Genomic DNA, 22,999 nt, shown 5'->3' on the forward strand with positions numbered 1-22,999 from the left:
GTCATAGATATAAATTACAATTCTGGCCCTCATTCACCCTCACATAGCTTTCTGGCATCCTTTCCCATTCTCTGAACATGAGAGGAATGAGAAGGTTATTTGGAAGGTCGCTGATCTTAGGAGTTGTCCTGCTACAGTTACCGGAGAATCTTGAATTTCATCTGAAAAGACTGCAAGGCAGTCGGGGCAAGCATGCTATGAGAAGTCAACTGGTAAGCAGACCCCAGAGATGAGAAGCATATGGGAAGCCAACCCCATGATTTGCTTCCTTAAAAAGTATGGGCTGTGGATGGATTTTAAATCCTACTCTAAATACAAGACTGGTGTTAGCGGTTGTTTGCAGGAAAACCAAAGGAACTTAGCATCCTTCAGTGTGTTACAGAGACTGTGTGGCCTCAAGCAGTGAAGTGAAGAATTCTTTTTGTCTTTTTCCTCATATGCCCAACCTGGAAACCAGCAGAATTTTTGATGGTGCATCTGGTTCCTGGTGTGCTGCAGAAGTGATTAGTGTGTCATGTCACTGTGGCCTCTTTCTCTGCCCCAGGAGAATGTCTGGGGAACAGAAGAGCAGAGTCCTGCCTGGGATCATGTGGGTGGGGGAGCTATTCCTTCTCAACAGATAGTGTGAGAAGCACTGATCCAAGGTCCTGGCTGCTCAAAGTGTGTTCCTAGGAGCTTGCTGGACATGCAGAATCTCAAGTTCCATCCCAGAACCTGATGTTTTTATTTGGAGCACTGGCCTTGGCAACACATGTTCCTTCCTCACCTTTCTGCAGCCTCTCACTCCCCACTGTCGCCCACTCCTCATAGGCTATCCTCAGGAATGGCATTGGTGGAGTGTTGGTGAAGGTGTAGCTGCAAGCATTCTGATCTTTATTTTACAAACTCTAAACCCAGAAGACTCCAAACCCAGAAAAGTCTAAGTCACAGAAAGCAAAGGAACAGTCTTATTTCAGACACATCTACAGTCTTTGCTGGTTAAATGTCAGGAAGCCCACAAAAAGCTGCCAGACATTTCAGGGTATGAATTTCGTATCTGTACTTCTTGACATCTGCTGGGCTACCATGCCCTTCAATTTACCAAAATATGGAAATTTCCTTATGGCATTCTACCCAAATAATGAGGAAAATGTTGATGCTTCTCTCAGCCTCAGGACCTTAAAGCCACACTGTTCCTAACCACGCTTGCCTATATGGCACTTAGCACTTTACACAAAAAACAAACAGAGGTGTTTATTCCCTGGCAGTTAATATAAATGCTTTCTGTTTTGTAAAATAGGAACAGTATTTGATTCCATTATCACAGATCTCTTGTGGACAAGTCAAAATTCTTCAATTAAGGTTATATCTAGTTAAAGGAATTTTTCTCTTTGGTCTACATCCCCACCCTGAATGTCCTTGCCTGTTAGTTCCTTGCAGGTGAAAGGTAAAAAACCTTTGCAACTTCATGCTATAATTGTGCCTTTGAATTTTCAGAGGAAAAGACAGTGAGAGAGCAAGAGCAGATTGAGAAGCAGAAGAGTGAGTCGCAAAAAGAGAAAATGACAGAAATGGAGCACCCTGGTGAGTCCCAACCACATCCATTCTTGATGATAACAACCAAAGCTCAGAAAATGATTTCTTACAGAATGTTGTATCAAAAGGAGCATATTGTATGTGCAAAGTTGCTGCAGCTTTCCTAAGTTGGCTTCAAACTATCCAACTATGATGTTAACATATTACCTTCAGCCAGTATGATACACATATTGGAATGTTTTGTATCATTGACTACTTTTCCTGTGTCTGTCCACTCTACTGTTTCAAACCCCTGGTACTGGGACAGTGATTGAACCCAGGTATTCTTGTCAATAATAGTTGGAGGGGCTTAGCAATAGATCAAGGTATAGAAGAATTAAACCTGCTATAGCTTGATCTACTTTGAGATTAGAGTGTACAGGGTCCTCTCCAACCTGACACACTTGGCCCTTTTCTGACATAGGTTTAGTAAGTTTTGTGTGCATTTGTAGATATTTTTTCATTCCTAGGGGTTTGGCTTCATTGAGATGTGAGTTGTGGAGCCAAAATACCAGAGAGGCTGACTGTTTTTGTAGCAAGAGTTAGTTTATTTTGTGGTTGGGTTTGAAAAAGAAAAAGCTAAAAACTGCCCTCAAATATCTGATTTAGCTGATTGCTAGGTTATCTAAATCAACTTGAAAACTTTGGATAAGCATTATTCAAACACTAAAGGCAACAAAAGTCTATTTCATTATGTTTGCTCTGATACCTAGCTTCCCGGCTGACTTCTTTTCCAGTTCCTTTCATCCTTTCACAAACCTGAGGAATGAACATACAGAAAAGGCATTTTACTTAGTTACTATTAGAAAGCATGAATATCATCAACTCATATATCTTTATTCAGTTTAGTACTCTGCAGACATCCTTGTTGGATATTTTATTCTGGGATTGTTAGAACTAAAGTTAGCCTTAATGACTTAAAGCAATGATTTTCATAAATTTCTCCTGAAATGATGTTTTGGTACAAAATGCCCTGAAAATGATTTAACTATAGATAACACTGAGAATTTTACTTACTGCTGCTCATCAGAAAGACACCCTGGGTCTCCTTTCCCTCTCTCCACCCCTTATCCCCTTTCTCAGAGATTAATTGAGGAAACATTTAAAAAAGTTTTCAGTTTTGGTTAGGAAATAACATCATTAAGCAAGTTTTGCTGGGTGATGTGTAATCACTGAAACGCCAATTTGTTCAGGAAGCAGGAATTAACACCTTTGCTCTAGTGAAAAAGAAATTGGTACAAGACTTTAAGGAAGTCAAAATGATGAAGTTTGGATTAAGCTCTTAGCAGGAAAGGCAAAGGCCACAGTGAAAGCAATCCTGAGCTGGCCAGCCCTGTAAACAACTGCTAGCCCCTGGTTAAGTGTCTTTTTCTTTTGACATAGAGAAGTTAAAATATAGTGCAATTTAATATAGTCAGCACACTTCACCCTAAAATCCAATCAATTTATTAAAGAAAAAAAGGTCCATTCAACCCAGCCATTATACATGACTCTATAGTTCTTGGAAATAACTATAGTCAGCTCTGGAAACAGAAAACTAATCCAACTGACCACTTGAGGGAGGTGGTGGGTTATCTTGTCTAGAAAAAGGACCTCAGTTCCTTCTTTGTAGTGTGCAATTTTAAGAACTTTGAATACCTCCTGTGACCTATGGGTAAAATGAGATCACAGGAACCCAGACAATGGCCTTTTCTCCACTTGGATCTATAATCTAATTTTCCTATAAAGTAAGGGGAATAAAATAGATTTACAGAACACTTGTGATGGTCTAGCTGATGGATCACTTTAAAAAGAGAGAAAGAGGCAAAGTATGGGTAGTTTATTTTCACAAATCAGTTTTAGTTTTTTTCTATGAAATTAATGAACAAGAAGCCCATTAAAATGATTGTTACAATTCTTCTTTTTAATTGTTTACTCTATTAAGGTGACAATACTTGACAGCTTGATATATGAACAGTGTTCACTTGCCCAACATAAACATCAATTATAACATGAAAATGCGATGGTCCTTCAACCCTTCATTCACTCATCCAGGTTAAATGCAGAATTTGGAAAGAAACCAAAATTAAAGTTAATTTTACCTAGACTTCAACAGATGTTTTTTAACAAGAAAAAAAAAAACAAAGAAATTGTGGCTGAAGAAAAGTTAGCTGAGATGAAGAGTAAAATGGGTCATGTAGGAACAAAGTCATTGTATTTCATCAGAGTCAAGAAAATTATTAATTATTGAAATGGGAAATCAAATCATTAAAGTATGAATACCATTGGCTCTCTGATTTCTTCTTTCCCAGGTATCATAAAATATGCTTGAACTTGGGTTAATTCCTCTTGGACTGAATTGTAGTGCCATAAACCAAGCTTTTCAAAAAGATTGGATGCAAAACTATTATGGCAACAGGAATTTTTATCAACATAAAGCAGGATTTAATGCAGGTATATAGTATATAGAGTCAAAAAGGATTATAAGATTTATAATGAAAAACAGCAGTACTCTACTTCTCCATTTGCTATCCCCAACTCTCGATGTGCAGATACCAATTTCAACTTGTTTAGCTATTTCTTCTGGCATCTAATTCCAAATGGCTAAATAACATGTTTATACTAATTTCTTATATATGTGCAATAAAGCTTTAGGTATTTTCTATTGCTTCCTCTTATTGGAGAAAAGAATCCAGCCCTATCAACTCTCCCCACACCACTTAATATATACTTCCCATTTCCTCAGCCTCTAAATGCTGGTAAATTACCATTTTTGGTTTAACCTCTATTCTGTGTTTGCTTTATTATGACTACATAAATACTATACACAGCTGAGCTCAGAAGGGTGCTCTGACCTTTTTTTTCAACTCTTTGCTTTCCTAAATGAAAAATTGCACGATTTTTTCATTAGCTGATTTTTATATTTCTACTACTGATTCATCCCCCAAATCCAAGGTATACAGCCTCTCTCAATGCAAATATAATAAGTGATCCATCAGTTTCATTTTTTTCAAAGTATCCATCCCCTTTCCCTTAAGCCCTCTGGCTGCCTCCTCCCACAACTGGTTGTTCCCTGTGCCTACTGCAAGCTCTGGTCCAGGGTCTTCCCCTTACTATCAAACTGGGGATTCTCTTTAACCCTTTCCATTGTTATATTTTAAAATTTCAAGAGCGATCTTATGTTTTCAGAATACTCTATGTTAAAAAATACATAACATTATTTTCTTATTTCATCAGATGGAATAGTGCTTTTATTTAGCTTTCTAAATTTATTTATTATAGTTTCTTTAAAGTTTTTATGGTAGGCACTGGATGCAACACTCAGATCACCCTTCAAGGAAAGAGTTGTTGCCCAAGATCACCTTCCCTTTTTGAGGTAGCCACACCCAAAGACTGTTCCATGTGAGCTATGAGTGCTTGGCCATCTTGGCCCAATGTGGGAGAGTTCTGAAGGGCTGTTCTAGCCCCAGACACTGAGGCTGAGGCTGTCATGGGACTGGCCTTGCAGCTTGCCTTCTTTGTTAGCCCACCCCTGCTTTTGTCCCCTCCAAAGTGACTCCCTAATAAATATCTTGCATGCTCAAGCCCATTTCAGAGTCTACCTCCCAGGGAAACATAGCTGTGACTATATTCTTCTTCATACAATATATCTGTCTCTTCTAAGTTACTTTTATTCTGTTTATGCATTGTAGACTCTGACTTCTATGCTAGATACTTTCTGTTCTGCCTTATGTGAAAGACAAGTTGATTGAAATCCTAAGTATGTATAGCGCATGTTTCCTTAGGGTCACCATGTAGAAAAACTGAGAAAACCAGCTGTTTATTTGGTGTCTAGGTCTTTTTTCTTGACCCCAGACAGTTTCATCTTTTCTCCTGCTTGGGGAGCATAAACCTGGCTAGCAGCTTTCTGGGATCTAGTCAGGGAAGCGGTTGGGAGTTACATTATCAGTGTAAACATTTTAATTTAATAGTCTAGGTTTTTAGTCTGGAATTTCAGCCCCAATTTCAATTCTGCCCGAAAAACATACTAAACTTCTCTGTTTAGAATTCTTTAGATAATTCTCTTTATTCTTATTGTCTATCAGGGTATATAGGAGGGGTAATTTTAGGATATCTGAAATTGGGAAGTGATTGGAGGAATCTAATTTTTCCTTAAACAAAATTTCAACCAATTACTTCAAAATTAAAGTTATCAGCTCCCCCACCCACCTGCCTCCACTGTGCCTTCAGAGGTATACTATACCTCCCAAACTTGGTCCTTTCTAGGGCTCTGCAGAAGAAATTGTGTCACTTCTTGTGGACCTTCTTCCTTCCTGTGAACGCTTGAGGCTCTCTGCTTTCAATTAAGTGAATTACTGCTTATCTATTCACTCTTCATCTTTCAAGATTTTGTCAATATTGCTCCTCTGCTGTGGTCCCTGCTTCCATTCTCTTTATCTATGTGGGTTCAGATCTTTAAAAATTTCTGTATTGTTATTTAAGTAGAGTTGGAAAGAGCATAGTTATATATACATGCTCTGATTGAACTTGTTTGAACCCATCAGAGTACTCTTACTGTACCAAATCAGCAGCATGTGACAGTGTTGATCCTGTCCTCTTTTTAGAAACATTCCTCACTTGGCTTCCAGGATATCACACTGAACAAAGTTTTTTTTCTACTTTTCTGACTGTTCATTCCCATTGTTTAATCTTTCATTTCCCCAAAGATTAACTTGTCATGAAAAAATCAAAATATGGCATTTCTACCAAATAATATTAACTAAAGTGCAAGAGCAGATAGGATGACAAAACTGAAAGACTACATGTCAGGTTTCACATATAGCGAAGAATAACTATAAGACAGCTCACAAATGAGAGTGAAGTATATACTTTTCAAAGATATTCACTTAGCACTCAAGCAAGTAAAATGATTTTAAACTTTTTCTGTTTTCTGAAATATTGTTATAAGGTTCAAACACCTAAAAAATATGAACACATTTTAACTTACCTCTAATAATTAGGGAAGAAAATTTAAAAACACACAAACTAAATTCATGCTTATTGAATTTTTTTCAATTATAGATTATATCCAACTCTGTCAAACCAGTTTCTATATAAGAAAGGAGAAAAACCTATTTGTAAACTATAATAAATCAATATGCCTGAATCAAATTTCCTTTGTTAGAATAGAATATGCTACGTGATAAAGGACTGAAAAAATAGTTTGGAATGAAAGAAATTGGAAAAAAGATATAACTTTATAGACAAAACTTCAATCATTGTATTTTTTGATCATTGACTCGTGAGGTTATATTTTCAGAAATATTTTATTTGGTCATCTTAGATGATCTACAAAGATTACCTATTGTGAATATGTATTATAATTTTTTAAAAATATACCTGAGTATATTTTATGCCATTCAAATCAGAATTTGTACCAGAGAGCTAAATATTCTGTATAAGTGATAAATACCTTGTCCAAGCCATAGTAATTATTGCCATTAGCCAAGTGAACCTAGTATCACCTTCATTCATTACACAGTCTATCATGTTCTCAGAAAGGACGCAAGGACAATTTAGCAAGGATGTGTAGTTTATCATGTTTATAGCCAGGAGGCCAGGAAAATTTATGCAGGGAAAATTTGGCAAAGAAAATTTAGTGTTAGAGTTATAAACACAGTAATTCCTAACATGTTAGTCCTTAAATGGATTACTGTAAAGAAGGTAGTAAGTTTAGGTCAGAGCTATAACATATAGAAACAAGAATGATTCATATACTTTTAAGACAGTATTCAAATCAATGAGTTACTATCTATTTTTCTTCAACAACTGCTTACGCATGTGGCAATATGAGCCTAAGACAGGTGCTGATGCCTTAGTCACTTGGCCACACAGTTTTGTGGTTTACGAGTCATGGGAATTGCTTGTCTTACTCTGACTGCTAAAGTTCTGTCCTATTGTCTTTTCATGTAATAGCAACATGACTCTGATGACAAAGCCCAACTAATTACACAACTTAATTTAATAGTTTAAAGCGCAAAGGGCATTCCCTGAGCAGTAAAATCTTTTGTTTGGAAATTTTAAAACAAATTATATTTTACTTTATGTTTTATATTTACGTAATAAGTATTTACAAGAACACAATTTTCTCAAGATTTAAACTGCTCATTGTTCCATAAATAGGACACACATTTAGAAAGAGGATTTTTTTTTAAAGGAATATTTTAGTGATTACTTCTGGCTAAAAACATGAAACTCTTTTAGTGCTTGATGTTACTGGAAACTTGCTCTAGATTATTTTTTGAATCTTTGCTGTGAGGTTAAGAATAGAAATGTTTTCACTCCCAATTATTGCTTTGAATTAAGATTTTGTGTCTGGGTGAAATTTTCCTCTGGCTTAATGCATGACCAGGCTGGTAGAAATGTTTCACCTAAATCCTCTTATTTTTGTTAAAACATTCATAATCCCAAACCCTAATAGTTGGAAGTGCATGTGATAATTGTTAGTCCCACTCCTGTCCTCATTTTATAAATTCCCCTGACAACAGCCTTGCTTAAGATTATCACCTAACTTCTGTTTGATTTCTTCCAGTGATAGAGAAGTTTCTGTTCAATTTAGGCCTCTTGGGTCATGTTACCAACTGTTTTTACCCTAATACAGATTCCTACATATCAAAGGGTTTTGTGGGTTGGACCAAGGAGCAAGAAGGCTTTACCTTAAAAGGTCAGGAATGTAAATTGCCCAAGGTGAACTCTGATTTAAAAGAAAAGGGCACCATTGTTCCAGTGGGATTGTGATTATGATAGTTAATAGAAAACATTGTCAGCCATGTTGGCTCTGGGGATGAAGAAGAAGAGGGTGTTTTCCAAGACTGGGATTGATGTTAGTATCCTGTGAGTGTAAAGTGTTCTAATATCTGGCCTGTTTTCAGGAGAGCTGAGGCAACTGAGGCAGCTTACTGAGCCAAAGTTCTTACTAGCCTTATTTCCTTTCCTTTATTAATTCTATTATTTTAATGGCTTTTTGTTAACACTTAGAGGTAAGGAATACAGTTTGCCAAATACATAGCAAGTCATCCTGTCAAAAACAGATATTTCAAGATAAAACTCCTTGGTCTGAAAAGACAGATTCAAAAGAAATTGTAGACAGTTTCTACTATCAATGATTTTACAGACTGATGGAGATAAGACAGGAGATAACAACCTCGTAGATAAAGCATATAAAACATGAAAGCTTTTATAACTTTATAGAATGTAAATATTACGTATTAACATAAACTCTAGAGTGCACAGGTGCATCAAAGCAGAATGGGATTGAGAACCTTTCTACAAAAAGGATGTAAAGAATATGACTTTTCAGGGTTGAGGGAAAGATTTTGGGGAAGGAAGAGGTGCTCTTTAGGAGGTACCGATGGGGGATCCTGTGATAATCAGCATATCCTCGCAAAGCAGAAGGGTTGAAGGGAGTTTGTCTGTGAATAGAGCCTTGCTGACTTGGGTAGCATTTCTTCTTTTTTTCCCACTTCTTGGTGGTCGTTTCTTCAAGAGGATTTGGACTTACCACTCAGGAAGACCTGGTATAGACTGCTTTACTGTGCATCTGGGCTAATGGGGTTTGATTGTTGAAGGCCTTAGTGGTCTCTTTTTGAGGACCCCTTTTTGTCATCTTCCCTTATGGGGTCTGTGCTTGAGATCAGTATGGTAGCCTGACCCCTGACTCCCCCAACCCCACCATGCAGTGTGACCCTTTTCCAGGTGTTTAAGCCTCTTCTCTGGGACACCTTGTACAATACTATACTACATTTCCTCCTGACTTGAGCTTGCAGCCTTCATTCCTGTGCAGGTAGGCAGACAGCTTTAAAGATTTGCTCTTAGAGGGATTATTTTTGGAACTTAGGACTCTGGGGATTTCCTGAGCTGAGAATGACTTTGCCCAGGAAATAATGAATTGAATCATTGTCTGTCTTTTGACCCTCAGATCACCTTTTTTATTTTGCAATCTCTGCCCAGTCACTAGGTATCAGCCTGGCTGCACCCACTGATAATACCTTTGTATGTTTTGTAATTGAAAGGCCAATTTCAGGCCCATTTCAACTGGGGCTGTTGGAACTTCACCTGCCCCCTACAGGGAGGTGAGGTTTGTGAAACTGGGAAACTGGAATAACAAGTGAATTAACACACCCATCCCTCCAACACCACCCACCCACTGCAGGCTTCGTAGACTGATTGATGACATTTCCTAATATAGCAGGGGTAAGATGACTTATTTTGAAAATAGAATTAAAACTTTCCCTTTTTAGGAGCAAGCATCACTTTGGCAACACCATCAACCCCAAGCACATTAGTTCTTGTGGTCAAAACATTAACAGGGTGCTTTGTTAACAAAATGTTCAGGTCATGATAAGGCCAACAAAGGAACTGTAAGACTTTTTATGAGCCGAGTCTTTCCAAATAGCACTCCAAGTTAAAAGTACTGAGAGCAAAAGTTTCTTCTGTAATAAGGCCCAGATGATCTGGGGTGAGAGTTTTCAGGAGTGGGCAGAGGTGTTGGGGTGTTGCATTGACCAAAATAAGCCACCTCATGGAAAGCGGGAAACAATTGGTAGGTCCCCAAAGTGTGCAGCTATCTGAACAGTTGGAGTAAAGGATTTCAGATAGCCTCACTAATTAGCCTACTTGGGCAGTTTAGAAGAGTGGAGGGCCTTTTAAAGAGGTCCCAGGGAGTGCTAAATGCTGGGGGAGTTTATTGCTGTGCGTGTAAGCAATGGTACTGGACAGGGAATTGAAATGAGATCCTGTGATCTGCAGAGCACCTGCTCTGGGAACTCATCTTTATGGAACCTTCCCTGACTCTAAACTCTGATTATTTTCCTACTCTATCAGCTCACCGTTTTTAATAAGAATTATAGATTAACTGTTAGCACTTATAGAGTGCTTCATCTTTTTAAGGCACTGGGGACGATACGTGGGGAAGGAGGGTGGGAGGGAGGGGAAGCTGATGCGAGCAACCTGAGAGAGAGTTACCTCAGCCCTTAGTGCGAGTCGCAGCTCTAGCTGTATGTTGTTAGACTAATCATGAAGCCTTTATGGGATTCTGTCTTGCCATCTGGAAAATGAGATAATTGGATGAGATGTCATTTTGGTCTTGAAAATGACTAATAATAATAGATTATATTTATTAATGCCCTAATATATCTTATTTGGCTTTATAATAATCCTTGAGGTAGGCATAGCACAAAACATGATCTCTGCTTTAAAGAGGAGTAATATGAGACTCAGAACTGTGAAGTGATTACCTTATGAAGCACAGGTAATGCACAGTGCAAACTATGTTAAGAATCCAGGATTTTTGATTTCTAGTTTTTTCTATACCTCTCAAAAATTGTACTTTGATACACTAGAGGTCTTCTTTGAAATAAGTACTTGAAGGCAAGGAGGGTATATTATATGTGTTCTCTAATTCTCCACTGCTTAATAAATATTGGTCACTGACTGGCTAAATAGAAGCTTTGGGACATTAGGTGACAATGTTCTTACTTTGAAGTCCAGAGCATAATCATGGTAACAGTTACAGGTTTTGAACTGCTATACTATGCCAGAAACATTACATATAATACTTCAATTATTGTTATTATTTATTTGAAAGGTGAAGAACCTGAAGCTCAGAATGGCAAATCACACAACCAATATGGTGAAGCTGGGATGCAGACTGAGGCTGCCTGTTTCCCTTGATGGCAATAACTTGCTTGTCTGACCCTTTCTCTCCCCCTGTATCTTTCTCTTGGTGCTTTCTCTTGGTTCCTTCAGACCTTCTTGGGCTCCCTCAACTGAAGGAAAGTAGCTGAGAAAGATTGTAGACCCAGCCAGTGTTGTAGGAGGATTCTGTGGGTTCCAAGAGTAGGGTGAACCTGAACCTGGCTCTCTGTTGTTGTCACTATGGAGGAAAAGTATTTCTTTAAGATGAGAGGCTGCATAGTAACTAGGGTTAAATGCAATCAGAGGCAGCCTGACAAAGAATTTCCTTGTCCAAAAACACGAAACAGGGACAGCAGCTTGTGTGGGATCAAGCAGAAAGGAGTGACAGACCTGGTTTTGTGTTTGCACATTATTAAACAACTTTAAGTATATGTAATATTAACACTGTGGGTCTTTGAGATCATGTCTTTCTTCCTGGTCCACTCAAGTTTGAGGAACATTGTTCTAATTCAAAGAGTAATTCTAATTGTAGATCTTGAAGGTCAAGAGAAAGGAGAAAACATGGTAGGTGAGTAGGGGAGGTATTTGCAGGCAATCCCCTGGAAATAAGTCACATTTTTTCCTTGATTCATATATTTATTTGGTAATGAAGATTTATTTCTAAGTGAAGGATAGAGTCAGTAGGACTAGTATAGATAAGCTGTTTTGGTCAGCAAAGTTTATCTTTACTCCTACAGTCTTCTCCAGGAAGCCATCACAAATCTTTTTGGCACTCTTCATGCTCTTTTTTCAGGGGACTCTTCAGCTTCTAGAATGGTGAGCAATGACCTGGTTAGGAGCCAGGCTTCTTTTGCATGTCCTGGCCCCAGACTATTCTTAACATCCACCTAAAATACATATTGCATATCTTTTGAGCCTGTGTATTCTAAGGAGAGGTCACTTGTTTTATCTTACTGATATGCTTTTCTAATTTTTAAATATTCTCTCATTCATCAATACTTAATTTTTCTATCTAATGTTCTTCTATTCTCTTTCTTACTGCTTTCCAGGGTAAAAGCTTGCTGATAAAATAAATGAGACCATAATTTAAGATAATGGCTTTAGGGTTTAGTTAGCCCTTTTTATTAGTCTGTTCCTTTGCTGCTATGAAGAAATACCTGAGACTGGGTAATTTATAAAGAAGAGAGGTTTAATTGACTCACAGTTCTGCATGGCTGGGGAGGCTTCAGGAAACTTACAATCATGGTGGAAGGCACCTCTTCACAAGGCTGCAGGAGAGAGAATGAGTGTAAGCAGGGTAAATGCCAGATGCTTATAAAACCATCAGATCTCATGAGAACTCACTTACTAACATGAGAACAGCATGGGGAAACTGCCCCTATGATCCAATCATTTCCTGCCAGGTCCCTTCCATGACATGTGGGGATTATGGCAACTCTAATTCAAGATGAGATTCGGGTGGGGACACAACCAAACCATATCACCCTCCATAATGATATGTGCATTTTAAAATATCCTTCTGAAGAAAATGCTTTATTTCCAAAGCTTTACTTTAATTGTGAGATTTGGAGCTCTATAATTTTCTTGTCAGAGCACAAAGGTCTTTCATAGCTTACCAAATAACATAATATAGGCAGCTTACTGGTTTACAGCACAGAGGGCAGAGCATCACTACTTATTTTGGTGAGACTGATAAAGTCAGATGTATCTTGGGCACAAAGTAACTATAATTTTGTTTGATTTTATCTAAATTCAAGATAAAGCAGTATTCTTTTTTTTTATTTAATTATGGAAACACCTTGCTTTGGGATCTATAAAAATATCTAAATTCAACTTCGAAACAACCAAATAGTTTAATTAAATTCCTAGAATTGTAGAGTGATACAAGAAGTGGGATGTTGAACTAAAAAGCTACATCAAATTCTGATTTTGGAAAAGAAAGCAATGTAATATTTTGGTTGCATCTTTCAGGTGACTATAAAATGTTGACTTAAACATTGACAAATTACAATTAAATATTACCTAGGAAAATTGCTGTTTTAATTATATTGACTTAGACATCTCACTCAAGTTGATTGTGAAACTACCTTTTTATTATCTAGGAATCTTTCATATATGTTGTAGGAGTTTTGTTAAATATCCGCATAGATCTTTGTAATGTTTAGTCACTTTTTTCCCTTGATGTTTTATTTTCTGACACAGCTTCAAATTCTGCATTTGAATCTTGAATACTTCTCTCGTGACCTTTAGTTTTCTGATCACGAGAGCTCATGAAGTGCTGGGTAAAATTAATGAAAAATGACCTTAAATCTTGAATTTCAAGTATTAATAAAGAAATATTCTTCCAACTTTTATAAAAAGTCAATGCCTATTAATGATAAAAATTTCTCTGTAAACTAGTATTTAAATAGAACTTGCTTAACCCAATAAAGTCATCTATAAAAAAGCTTACAGTTAATATTTTATTTAATGGCAAAATGAAATACTTTGCCTAAGATCAAAATAGGGAAGGATGCCCATTGTCATCACTTCTCTTCCACATTATATCAAAGTCCTAGCCAGTACAATAAGGAGAAAGAAATAAACTCATGTAAATTTGAAAAGAAGAAATAAAACATTTTATTTGTAGATGATATGATCATGTATGAAGAAAACTCTATGGAACCCACAAAAAAACTCTTGGAAATAATAAGTGAATTTAGTCAAATTGCAAGATCCAAGATTGATATAAAATAGTCAATTGAATTGTTATATACTGGCAGCTAACAATTGGAAAACAATACTTGAAAAATAATACCATTTGCGATACAGTAAAAAAAATCAAATATCTGAAAACAAGTTTAATAAAAAATGTGCAAGACCCTACACTAAAATTTATACAATGTTACTTGGAGAAACTTTAAAAGATCTAAATTGATAGATAAATATCACGTCTGTAAATTGTTAGACTCAGTATTGTTAAGAAGACCAAACTGATCTATATGTTCAACTCAATCTCAATCATAGTCTCAACATACTTTTTTGGAGAAATGATAAATTCTAAAACTTCTGAAGAAATTGATAAATTCTAAAATTGAAATTGAAATTCAAAGAATCTAGCATAGCCAAAGCAATCTTGGAAAAGAATAAAGTGTAAAGACTTATGCTACCTTATTTTAGGATTTATTTTACAGCTATAATAATTAAGACACTGAGGTGATGGGGTAAAGATAGATTAAATAGGTCAAGAAAACTGAACAGAGCTCAGAAATAGACTCATGTATATACAGTAAATTGCTTTTCCATCAAGCACCCAGTCAGTGGGAAATTCATTAGAGGAAAGGAATCTTTTTAAGAAATGGCAATGGAACAATTCACTATTCTTTTGGAAAAGGTGACCCTTAGCTCCCTACTTCACACCATAAATAAAATCTAATTTGAGACAAATAACAATAAAAGCTAGAACCATAAAATGTCTACAGAAACCTCAAGAAAATATCTTTGTGATCTTGAGGTAGCCAATGATTTTTTAGAGGGGATACAAAAGCACGAATTTTAAAAGAACACAATTCATAAAATAAACTTTATCAAAATTAATAATCTACTTATTAGAAGATATCATCAACCCCCCATATCCCAAGAAAACAAAAAAGAACTGAGAAGTGAACCATGAATTGGGAGAAAATATTCACGATGCTTATATTTGACAAGATTCACATCTAGAATAGATAAAGATTTCCTACAAATTGACAATAAAAATCAAATCCATAAAAAATGGGCAAAAGATTTGAACAAGAACTTCAAAAAGAAAATAACTGAATGATAAAAATTAAACACATAAAAATGGATTCAACATCATAGTACTCAAGAAAATGCAATTGAAAACCACAAGATAACATTCCATACCCACTAGAATGGCTAAAATAAACAATGTCTGGCAATTTTCAAAGTTAGTAAGGTTATGGAGCAACTGGAATCAGATCAGTGCTATTGTGAAATGAGTTTCAATTTCTGTTCATGTTAAATTCTATTCAAAGTGATTTGATTTATGTGATAAAATTGTTTCTGGAAAATGTTATTCATCCATGCAATTACCCAACAATTATGTATTTATAGTTCATAATGGGTGAAACAAAGTTGTTCGTACCTTCAAAGAGCATGTAGACAAGTTTGCAAATTAAAGCCTTGTTAAGTCAGCCACTATATAGTTACTGTTGTTTATCACATTTTCTTGAATCCCAAACACATGTATTGTCTTACAACCAATTTCAAAATAAATCTGACAACTGATTGATCTTCTTACCAAGGACTTTTTATTAAATCAATGGTACATTTTACAGTTGAGGAAATGCATTAAATACATATAGCTATTATATTCAAATCAGCCAGCTGTTCTGTCTGGAGGAAGTACATTTTAAACATGAAAAGAAAAGGGTAAAAGCAATGACTATCTCCTAATTGAAAAAAAAATCATAGGAGGTTATAGACTCTCATTTTATTTATTTTGTGGATTGGGAGAAGGGTTGGTTCTAATTTCTGTCACAGACTGAAAGCAGAGCCTTTAAGGGATTTGGCGAAGGGGTTAAGAGTTGGACTGTGGGGTCAGACAGACCCCTGTACTGATCTTTTATTTACCAAGTACTTCAATGACTTAAATGCAGGATAATTGCTTACCCTCTGTGGGCCTCAGTTTCCTTCTGTATAATGATGCCAGACTTAATGGGCAGTGGTGAGGTTAAATGAGTTTCATTTAAAAGGTGTTCAAGACAGTGCTTCACATATTGTAGGTATTCACTAAATTGCAGCTCATATTATTAACTAAAATCCTTCTTCTGATAAGAATCAGAGTTGTAGCCCCCAATTCTAAAGAAGGTTGGGGTACTATCTCTTTCTAATCTTTGCCAATTTTATAGGCAAAAATATCTTGCATTTAAAAAAATTAAATCCATGAACATTCAAATCCTCTTTTATGTTTCCCAATAAAATTTTATAGAAAATGGGAAAATTGTTACTTAATTCCTTCCCTTAGGGTTAAGGAAAATGGAGCACCTCAGGTTCTGAGGTTTCAATTCCTGTTATGGCCAATAAACATAAAAATAGGTTTCACTTTGCCTATAGTACATGTCATTAGTTCTTTGGGTTTTATTTTATTGTTGGTTGGGGCTGCGGTACTCAGGTTACTTTTGGCTTAGTAATAAGGTAGCATACTGGACATTTTTACAAGATAAGTGTAAATATAGTACTTTAACATGTAGTAATCCCAAGTTTCTGTTTATATCTCAAAACAGTCATTGTTTTTAAAAAGTTATTTATTTCAGAAGAAAAATATTTTCATTACAAGCCCTTTTATTCTTTGATTCTTTTGTATTTTTAAATATATCATAGTGGTACATATTTTTGGGTTACATATAATATTTTCATACATATAATATTTTCATACATATATACAATGAGTAATGATCAAATCTGGGTAATTGAGATATACATCACCTCAAACATTTATCTTTTCTTTGTGTTGGAAACATTATAATTTCTTCTTTTTTAGCTATTTTGAAATATACAATAGATTATTAACTATAATTTTCCTACTGTACTATCAAATACTAGAATTTGTTTTTTCTAACTGCGTTTTTGTACCCATTAACTAGCTTCACTTCATCTACCCGCTTTCCCCTTTTCCTTCTGATGTGGTTTGGCTCTGTGTTCCAACCCAAATCACATCTTGAATTGTAATCCCCACATGTCAGGGGAGGGACCAGGTGGGAGGTGATTGGATAATGGGGGCTGTTTCTCCCATGCTGTTCTCGAGATAGGGAGTGAGTTCTCATGAGAGCTGATGGTTTTAAAGAGGGGCACTTCATTGTTCTTGCACACACTCCCTCTTGATGCATTGTGAAGAAGGTACCTGCTTCCCCTTCACCTTCCACCATGACTGTAAGTTTCCTGAGGCCTCCCATCCATGCTTTCTGTTAAGCCTGCAGAACTACGAGTCAATTAAACCTCCTTCCTTTATAATTACCCAGTCTCAGGTAGTATTCTTTATAGCAGTGTGATAATGGACGAATACACCTTCCCAGCCTCTGTTTACCATGATTTCAGTCTCCACCTCCATGAGATCTACTTTTTAAACTCCCACCTATGAGTGAGAACATGTAATATTTGACTTTCTGTGCCTGGTTTATTTCACCTGACATTATGACCCACAGTTCCCTCCATGTTGCTAAAAATGACAGGATTTCATTCTTTTTTATGACTAAATAATATCCTATTGTGTCTACATACCACATTTTCTTAATGCATTCATCCACTGATGGACACTTAGGAAGAGTCCATATTTTTGCTAATGTAAATAGTGCTGCAATAGACACAGGAGTGCAGATATCTCTTCAACATACTTATTTCCTTTCTTTTGAATATATACCTAGCAGTGCTGGATCATAGGATAGTTCTATTTTTAATTATTTGAGGAACCTCCATACTGTTTTCCATGATGGCTGTACTACTTTACATTCACACCATCCACTGTATGACCATTAACTTTTCTCTACATCCTCACCAGCATTTGTTATTTTTTTTGCCTTTTTGATAGTAGCCATTTTAACTGAGGTGTGATGATATCTCCTTATGGTTTTGATTTGCATTTTCTTTATGACTAGTCATGTTGAGCACTTTTTCATATACTTGTTGGCCATTTATATGTCTTCTTTTGAGAAATGTCTATTCAGATCTTTTGTGTATTTTAAAATCAGATTACTAGTTTTTTTTCTTTTTAGCTATTGAATTGAGTTCCTCATATATTCTGGTTATTAACCCCTTGATAGATAGCTAGCTTACAAACATTTTCTCCGATTCTATAAGCTATCTCTTCATTATGTTAGTTATTTCCCTTGTTGTTCAGGAGATTTTAGCTTGATGTAATCCTACTTGTCTTTTTTTTTTTTTTTTTTTGCTTTTGTAGCTGTGCTTTTGAGATCTTGCCCTGCCCTCAAAATCTTTGCCTAGCATTTCCCCAATGTTTTCTTTTAATCATATTATAGTTTCAGGTCTTACATTTAAATCTTTAATCTAATTTGTGTTGATTTTTGTATATTGTATAAGATGGGTATTTAGTTCCTTCTTCTGCATGTAGATATCTAATTTTCCCAGAACCATTTATTAAAGAAACTGTATTTTCTACAATGTATGTTCTTGGTACTTTTGTCAAAAATGAGTTGTCTATAAGTGTACGATGTATCTCTGGGTTCTCTAATCTGTTCCATTGTTTTATGTGTCTGTTTTTATGCCAGCACCATGCTGTTTTGGTTATTACAGCTTTGTAATATAATTTGAAAACAGGTAGTGTGATTATTCCAGCTTTGTTCTTTTTCCTCAGAATTGCTTTTTTATTTGGATTCTTCTGTGGTTCTGTACTGTATGAATTTTAGAAGTTTTTTTCTATTTCTGTGATGACTTTCATTGGTAATTTGACAAAAATTGTACTGAATCTGTAGACTATTTTGAGAAGTATAGACATTTTAACAGTATTAATTATCCCAATCCATGAACACAGGATATCTTTCCATATTTTGGTGTCCTCTAATTTCTTTCATCAGTGTTTTATAGCTTTTCTTGAAGAGACCTTTCACTTATCTGGTTAAATGTATTCCTAGGCATTGTATTTTTTATAGCTATCACAAATGAGATTGCTTTCTTAATTTTTTTTCAGATTAATCATAGTTAACAAATAGAAACTATTGATTTTTGTATGTTGATTTCGTATCTTGCAATTTTACTAAAATGGGTTAGCAATTCTAAGAGTTTTTTGGTGAAGGCTTTAGGTTTTTATAAATATAAGATCATGTCTTATGCAAACAAGAATGATTTGACTTCTTTCTTTCCCATTTGAATGCCTTCTTTTCCTTTCTCTTGCCTAACTGCTCTTGGCTAAGACTTCTAGTACTACATTGAATAAAAGTGTTGAAAGTGGGCATCCTTGTCTTTTTTGAGATCTTACTTAAAAGGCTCTCAGTTTTTCCCTTTTCAGTATGAGATTAGCTGTGGGATTGTCATATATGGCTTTCATTGGGTTGAGGTATGCTCCTTTTATATCCAATTTGTCAAAAGTTTTTATTGTAAAGGGATGTTGAGTTTTATCAAATAATTTTTCAATATCAACATAATGATCATATGTTTTTTTGCCCTTGTTTCTGTTGATATGATGTATCATGTTTATTGATTTGATTATGTTGAACCATGCTTGCATCCCTGGGAGAAATCCCACTTGATCATGGTAAATTATCTCATTAATGTGTTTGCTAATATTTTGTTGAGAATTTTTGGATCTACATTTATCAGGTATATTGGCGTATAGTTTTATTTTTGTTTGTATGTCCTTGTCTTGTTTTTGTGTAGCATAATGCATGCCTTGTAGAATGTGTTTGTGAGTATTCCCTCCTCTTCAACTTTTTTTTGAAATAGGTTAGTAGAATTGGTATTAGTTCTTTCTTAAATGCCTGGTAAAATTCAGCAGTGAATTCGTCATGTTCTGGGCTTTCTTTGATGGGAGACTTTTTATTACTACTTCAGTCTCATTACTCAATATTGGTCTGGTTAGGTTTTTCCATTTTCTTCCTGGTTTAATCCTGGTAGGTTGTATTTTTTACATTTATTTTAGGTTTTCCAATTTATTGACATCTAGCTGTTTATTATAGTCTCTAATGATCCTTTGTATTTCTATGGTAACTGTTGTAATGTTTCCTTTTTCATCTCTGATTTTATGTATTTGGGTCTTCTCTCTTTTTTCTTAGTCTAACTAAAGGTTTATTATTTTGTTTATATTTTTTAAGTGTCATTTTTATTTATTTCTGCTCTGATCTCTAATATTTCTTTCCTTCTACTAACCATTATTTGCTTTATTCTTGCTTTTCTAGTTCTTTTAAGTGCATTGTTAGGTTATTTAAGAGGAGCGTTTCTGTATTTTTTTTTTTTTTTTTTTTTTTTGAGACACAGTCTCACTCTGTCACCCAGGCTGGAGTGCAGGCAATCCTGGCTCACTGCAAGCTTCGCCTCCCAGGTTCACGCCATTCTCCTGCCTCAGCCTCCCGAGTAGCTGGGACCACAGGAGCCCGCCACCACGCCTGGCTAATTTTTTCTATTTTTTAGTAGAGACGGGGTTTCACCATTCTAGCCAGGATGTTCTTGATCTCCTGACCTCGTGATCCGCCCGCCTCAGCCTCCCAAAGTGCTGGCGTGAGTCACCATGCCCGGCCGCGTTTCTGTGTTTTTGATGTAGACCTCCATCACTATAATATTTCCTCTTAGTGCCCCTTTTGCTGTATTTCATGGTACAGTATGTTGTGTTTCATTTGAATTTTATTCAAAAAATTTAAATTTTCCTTATAATTTCTTCATTGACCCATTAGATGTTCAGGAACATGTTGTTTAATTTCCATGTGTTTGTATTATTTCCAAAGTTCCTCTAGCTTTTTAGTTTTATTCTTTTGTGGTCAGAAAAGATACTTCATATGGTTTAGACTTTAAAAAATTTGTTGAGACTTGCTTTTTGACCTAATATATGGTCCATCCTGGAGAATGTTCCATGTGCTGAAGAGAAGTTGGATGAAGTGGTCTGTAAATGTATGTTAGGTCTATTTGATCTAGAGTATAGTTTAACTCTGATGTTTGTGGATTTTCTGCATAAGTGTTCTGTCCATTCCATTGCTTAAGATGGGGTATTGAAGTCCCCTACTATTATTATATTGCAGCCTATCTCTCCCTTTAGATCTCTTAATATGTGCTTTATATGTTTGAGTTCTTCGGTATTGGATGAATACATGTTTATTCTCCTCTTTGTGCTCCTTTCCATTTCACTGATGGTACACACTACTGACCATTTATATGACAATTATTTCTTTATGAAGTTGTTTCTCCTTGTGCACTCAACAAGACCTTATTAATTTCGCGCCCTAATGTTCACTGATTCACAGATACATTAATACAATCTTATTGTAATGGTTTTAGAACTTAGAATGGACTACCAAACTTTGGAACTGCTCTAAATGACTTTAAAAACTCAGATAGTTCTTAACTCTCTGGGCATATTTAGTTCCAAATATCGGTGGGGGCATTAACTAGGCAACTTTTCACTGTCCCTTTCAACTTTGTGAATCAACATTAACAAACTTATTTGCTTTGTTTTCAAAAGAGTAGAAATATACTTCATACCAAGTCTTCAAAACTTTAGTTATTAGAAAGAATTTAAGCATAGTCATAGAGCATTGGTCCTAATTTACCTATCACCTGCAGTACTTAAAAACTAGGTTGGGCATAGTAGCTCATGCCTTTAATCTCAGCCCTTTGGGAGGCTGAGGAGGGAGGATTACTTGAGCCCAAGAGTTTGAGATCAGCCCGAGCAACATAGTGAGACCCTATCTCTATAAAAAATAAAAAAAATTAGCTGGGTGTGGTGGCATGCCCCTGTTGTCCCAGCTACTCAGGAGGCTGACGCAGGAGGATTGCTTGAAACCAGGAGTTTGAGGGTGCAATGAACTGTGATTGTACCATTGTATTCTAGCCTGGGAGGCAGAGTGAGACCCTGTTATAAAAGTTATTGGTAAAAATTAATTACTTTATGATTCAGATAATTCAGATTACACAAAGCTTCAACAGCAGGCTTTTGGAACAATGTGTTTCCTCTTTTAAAAGGCATGTTTTTATTTTCAATGGAAGCAAAAGATTCTTAGTGAACATTTAGTAAAAGTATATTTAAATCATGATGAAAATAAGATAAATGAGTCGTAAGCAATATGAATATAATCTCTGCTTGTCTTATGTTCACACATAAATTGCTGTCTTGCCTTTATCCAAATATTTTCAGTGATAATCTCATATATTAAGTATTTTGGCAGTTTTTTAATCATCTTGTGTTTATTATTACAGACTTTGGAACAAAATTTAAATAGAAATAAATAAAAGGAAAAGTGTAAAAACCATTCACAGATGTAAACATTCTGGCATTTTTCTGTCTGGGCTTTAAAAATATGTATTTCTGGAAACATTGTTGTTTATTCAGTGTACATCCCTGACTTCCTTTATCCTTCCTTACAGAATCTCAAGTATGTTCAGGCATCTTACCCCTTCCCATAGTCATGTACTTTGGAGGGAGAGGCTGACCCCTTCATCAGCCCTGGGGGTGACTCTTGATTGGTCTAAACCAATCATGGTTGTTTCCCTTATTTGGGATTGGCTTAGGCAGGTGATGCAATTCTGACCAATGAGACATGAAGGGAAGTCAGCTTCGTGGCTCAGGGAAAGGATTCACTGTTTTAAGAGATACACACAGGAAGAGATGGCCTCTTTCTTTCTTTCTTTGGATATTTTCATGTCTCTGTGTGGTTTGCAAGTAAAGTTATCATCTTGTGGCTATGAGGGCTGCTGGGCTAGCTTGAGAGAAAATTATTTGCACTAAGAATGGCAAATCAGGAAGCTACAAGTAACTTGAATCCTTGATGACATCATTAGGTTGCTGAATTAACCAACCTTAGAACTGTTTATCTCTGCTCATATGGCTCAGTGAGATAAAATACTTTGTTATTTAAGCCAATGGTTTTCAAACTTCATGCTAGTACCCTGGAAAGTCAAAAACTATCCAGGTGGTAAATAGGTATAAATAGCTTTAAAGAAATCAATTTCCAGATCCTCAACTTCTACAAGTACTCTGTACTAAAATTGATTGACCTTTGGAAAACACACGAAACAAGGAGGTTGTGGCAGTTCTCATTTCCCACCTCTTTCATAATCGCTTCTTTTACGCTTTACACAGGAAAGATCTACC

At 35.8% G+C, this 22,999-nt stretch overlaps 1 protein-coding gene across 24 annotated transcripts in view; it reads left to right on the forward strand.

Annotated features, from left to right (window-relative positions):
- TRMT11 (tRNA methyltransferase 11) overlaps positions 1-22,999 on the forward strand; it is a 285,804-nt gene that overhangs the window by 186,809 nt on the left and 75,996 nt on the right. For 10 of the 24 annotated variants that reach the window (XR_007059327.1, XR_007059304.1, XR_007059310.1 and 7 more), the window contains one exon: positions 1,477-1,563. The gene's annotated coding sequence lies outside the window, so the exon portion shown is untranslated. The other 14 variants (XR_007059324.1, XR_007059326.1, XR_007059301.1 and 11 more) reach the window with 5 other exon arrangements.

The sequence above is a fragment of the Homo sapiens genome, chromosome 6, assembly GCF_000001405.40.
Source record: "Homo sapiens chromosome 6, GRCh38.p14 Primary Assembly".
In the NCBI taxonomy this organism is placed as follows: Eukaryota; Metazoa; Chordata; class Mammalia; order Primates; family Hominidae; genus Homo; species Homo sapiens.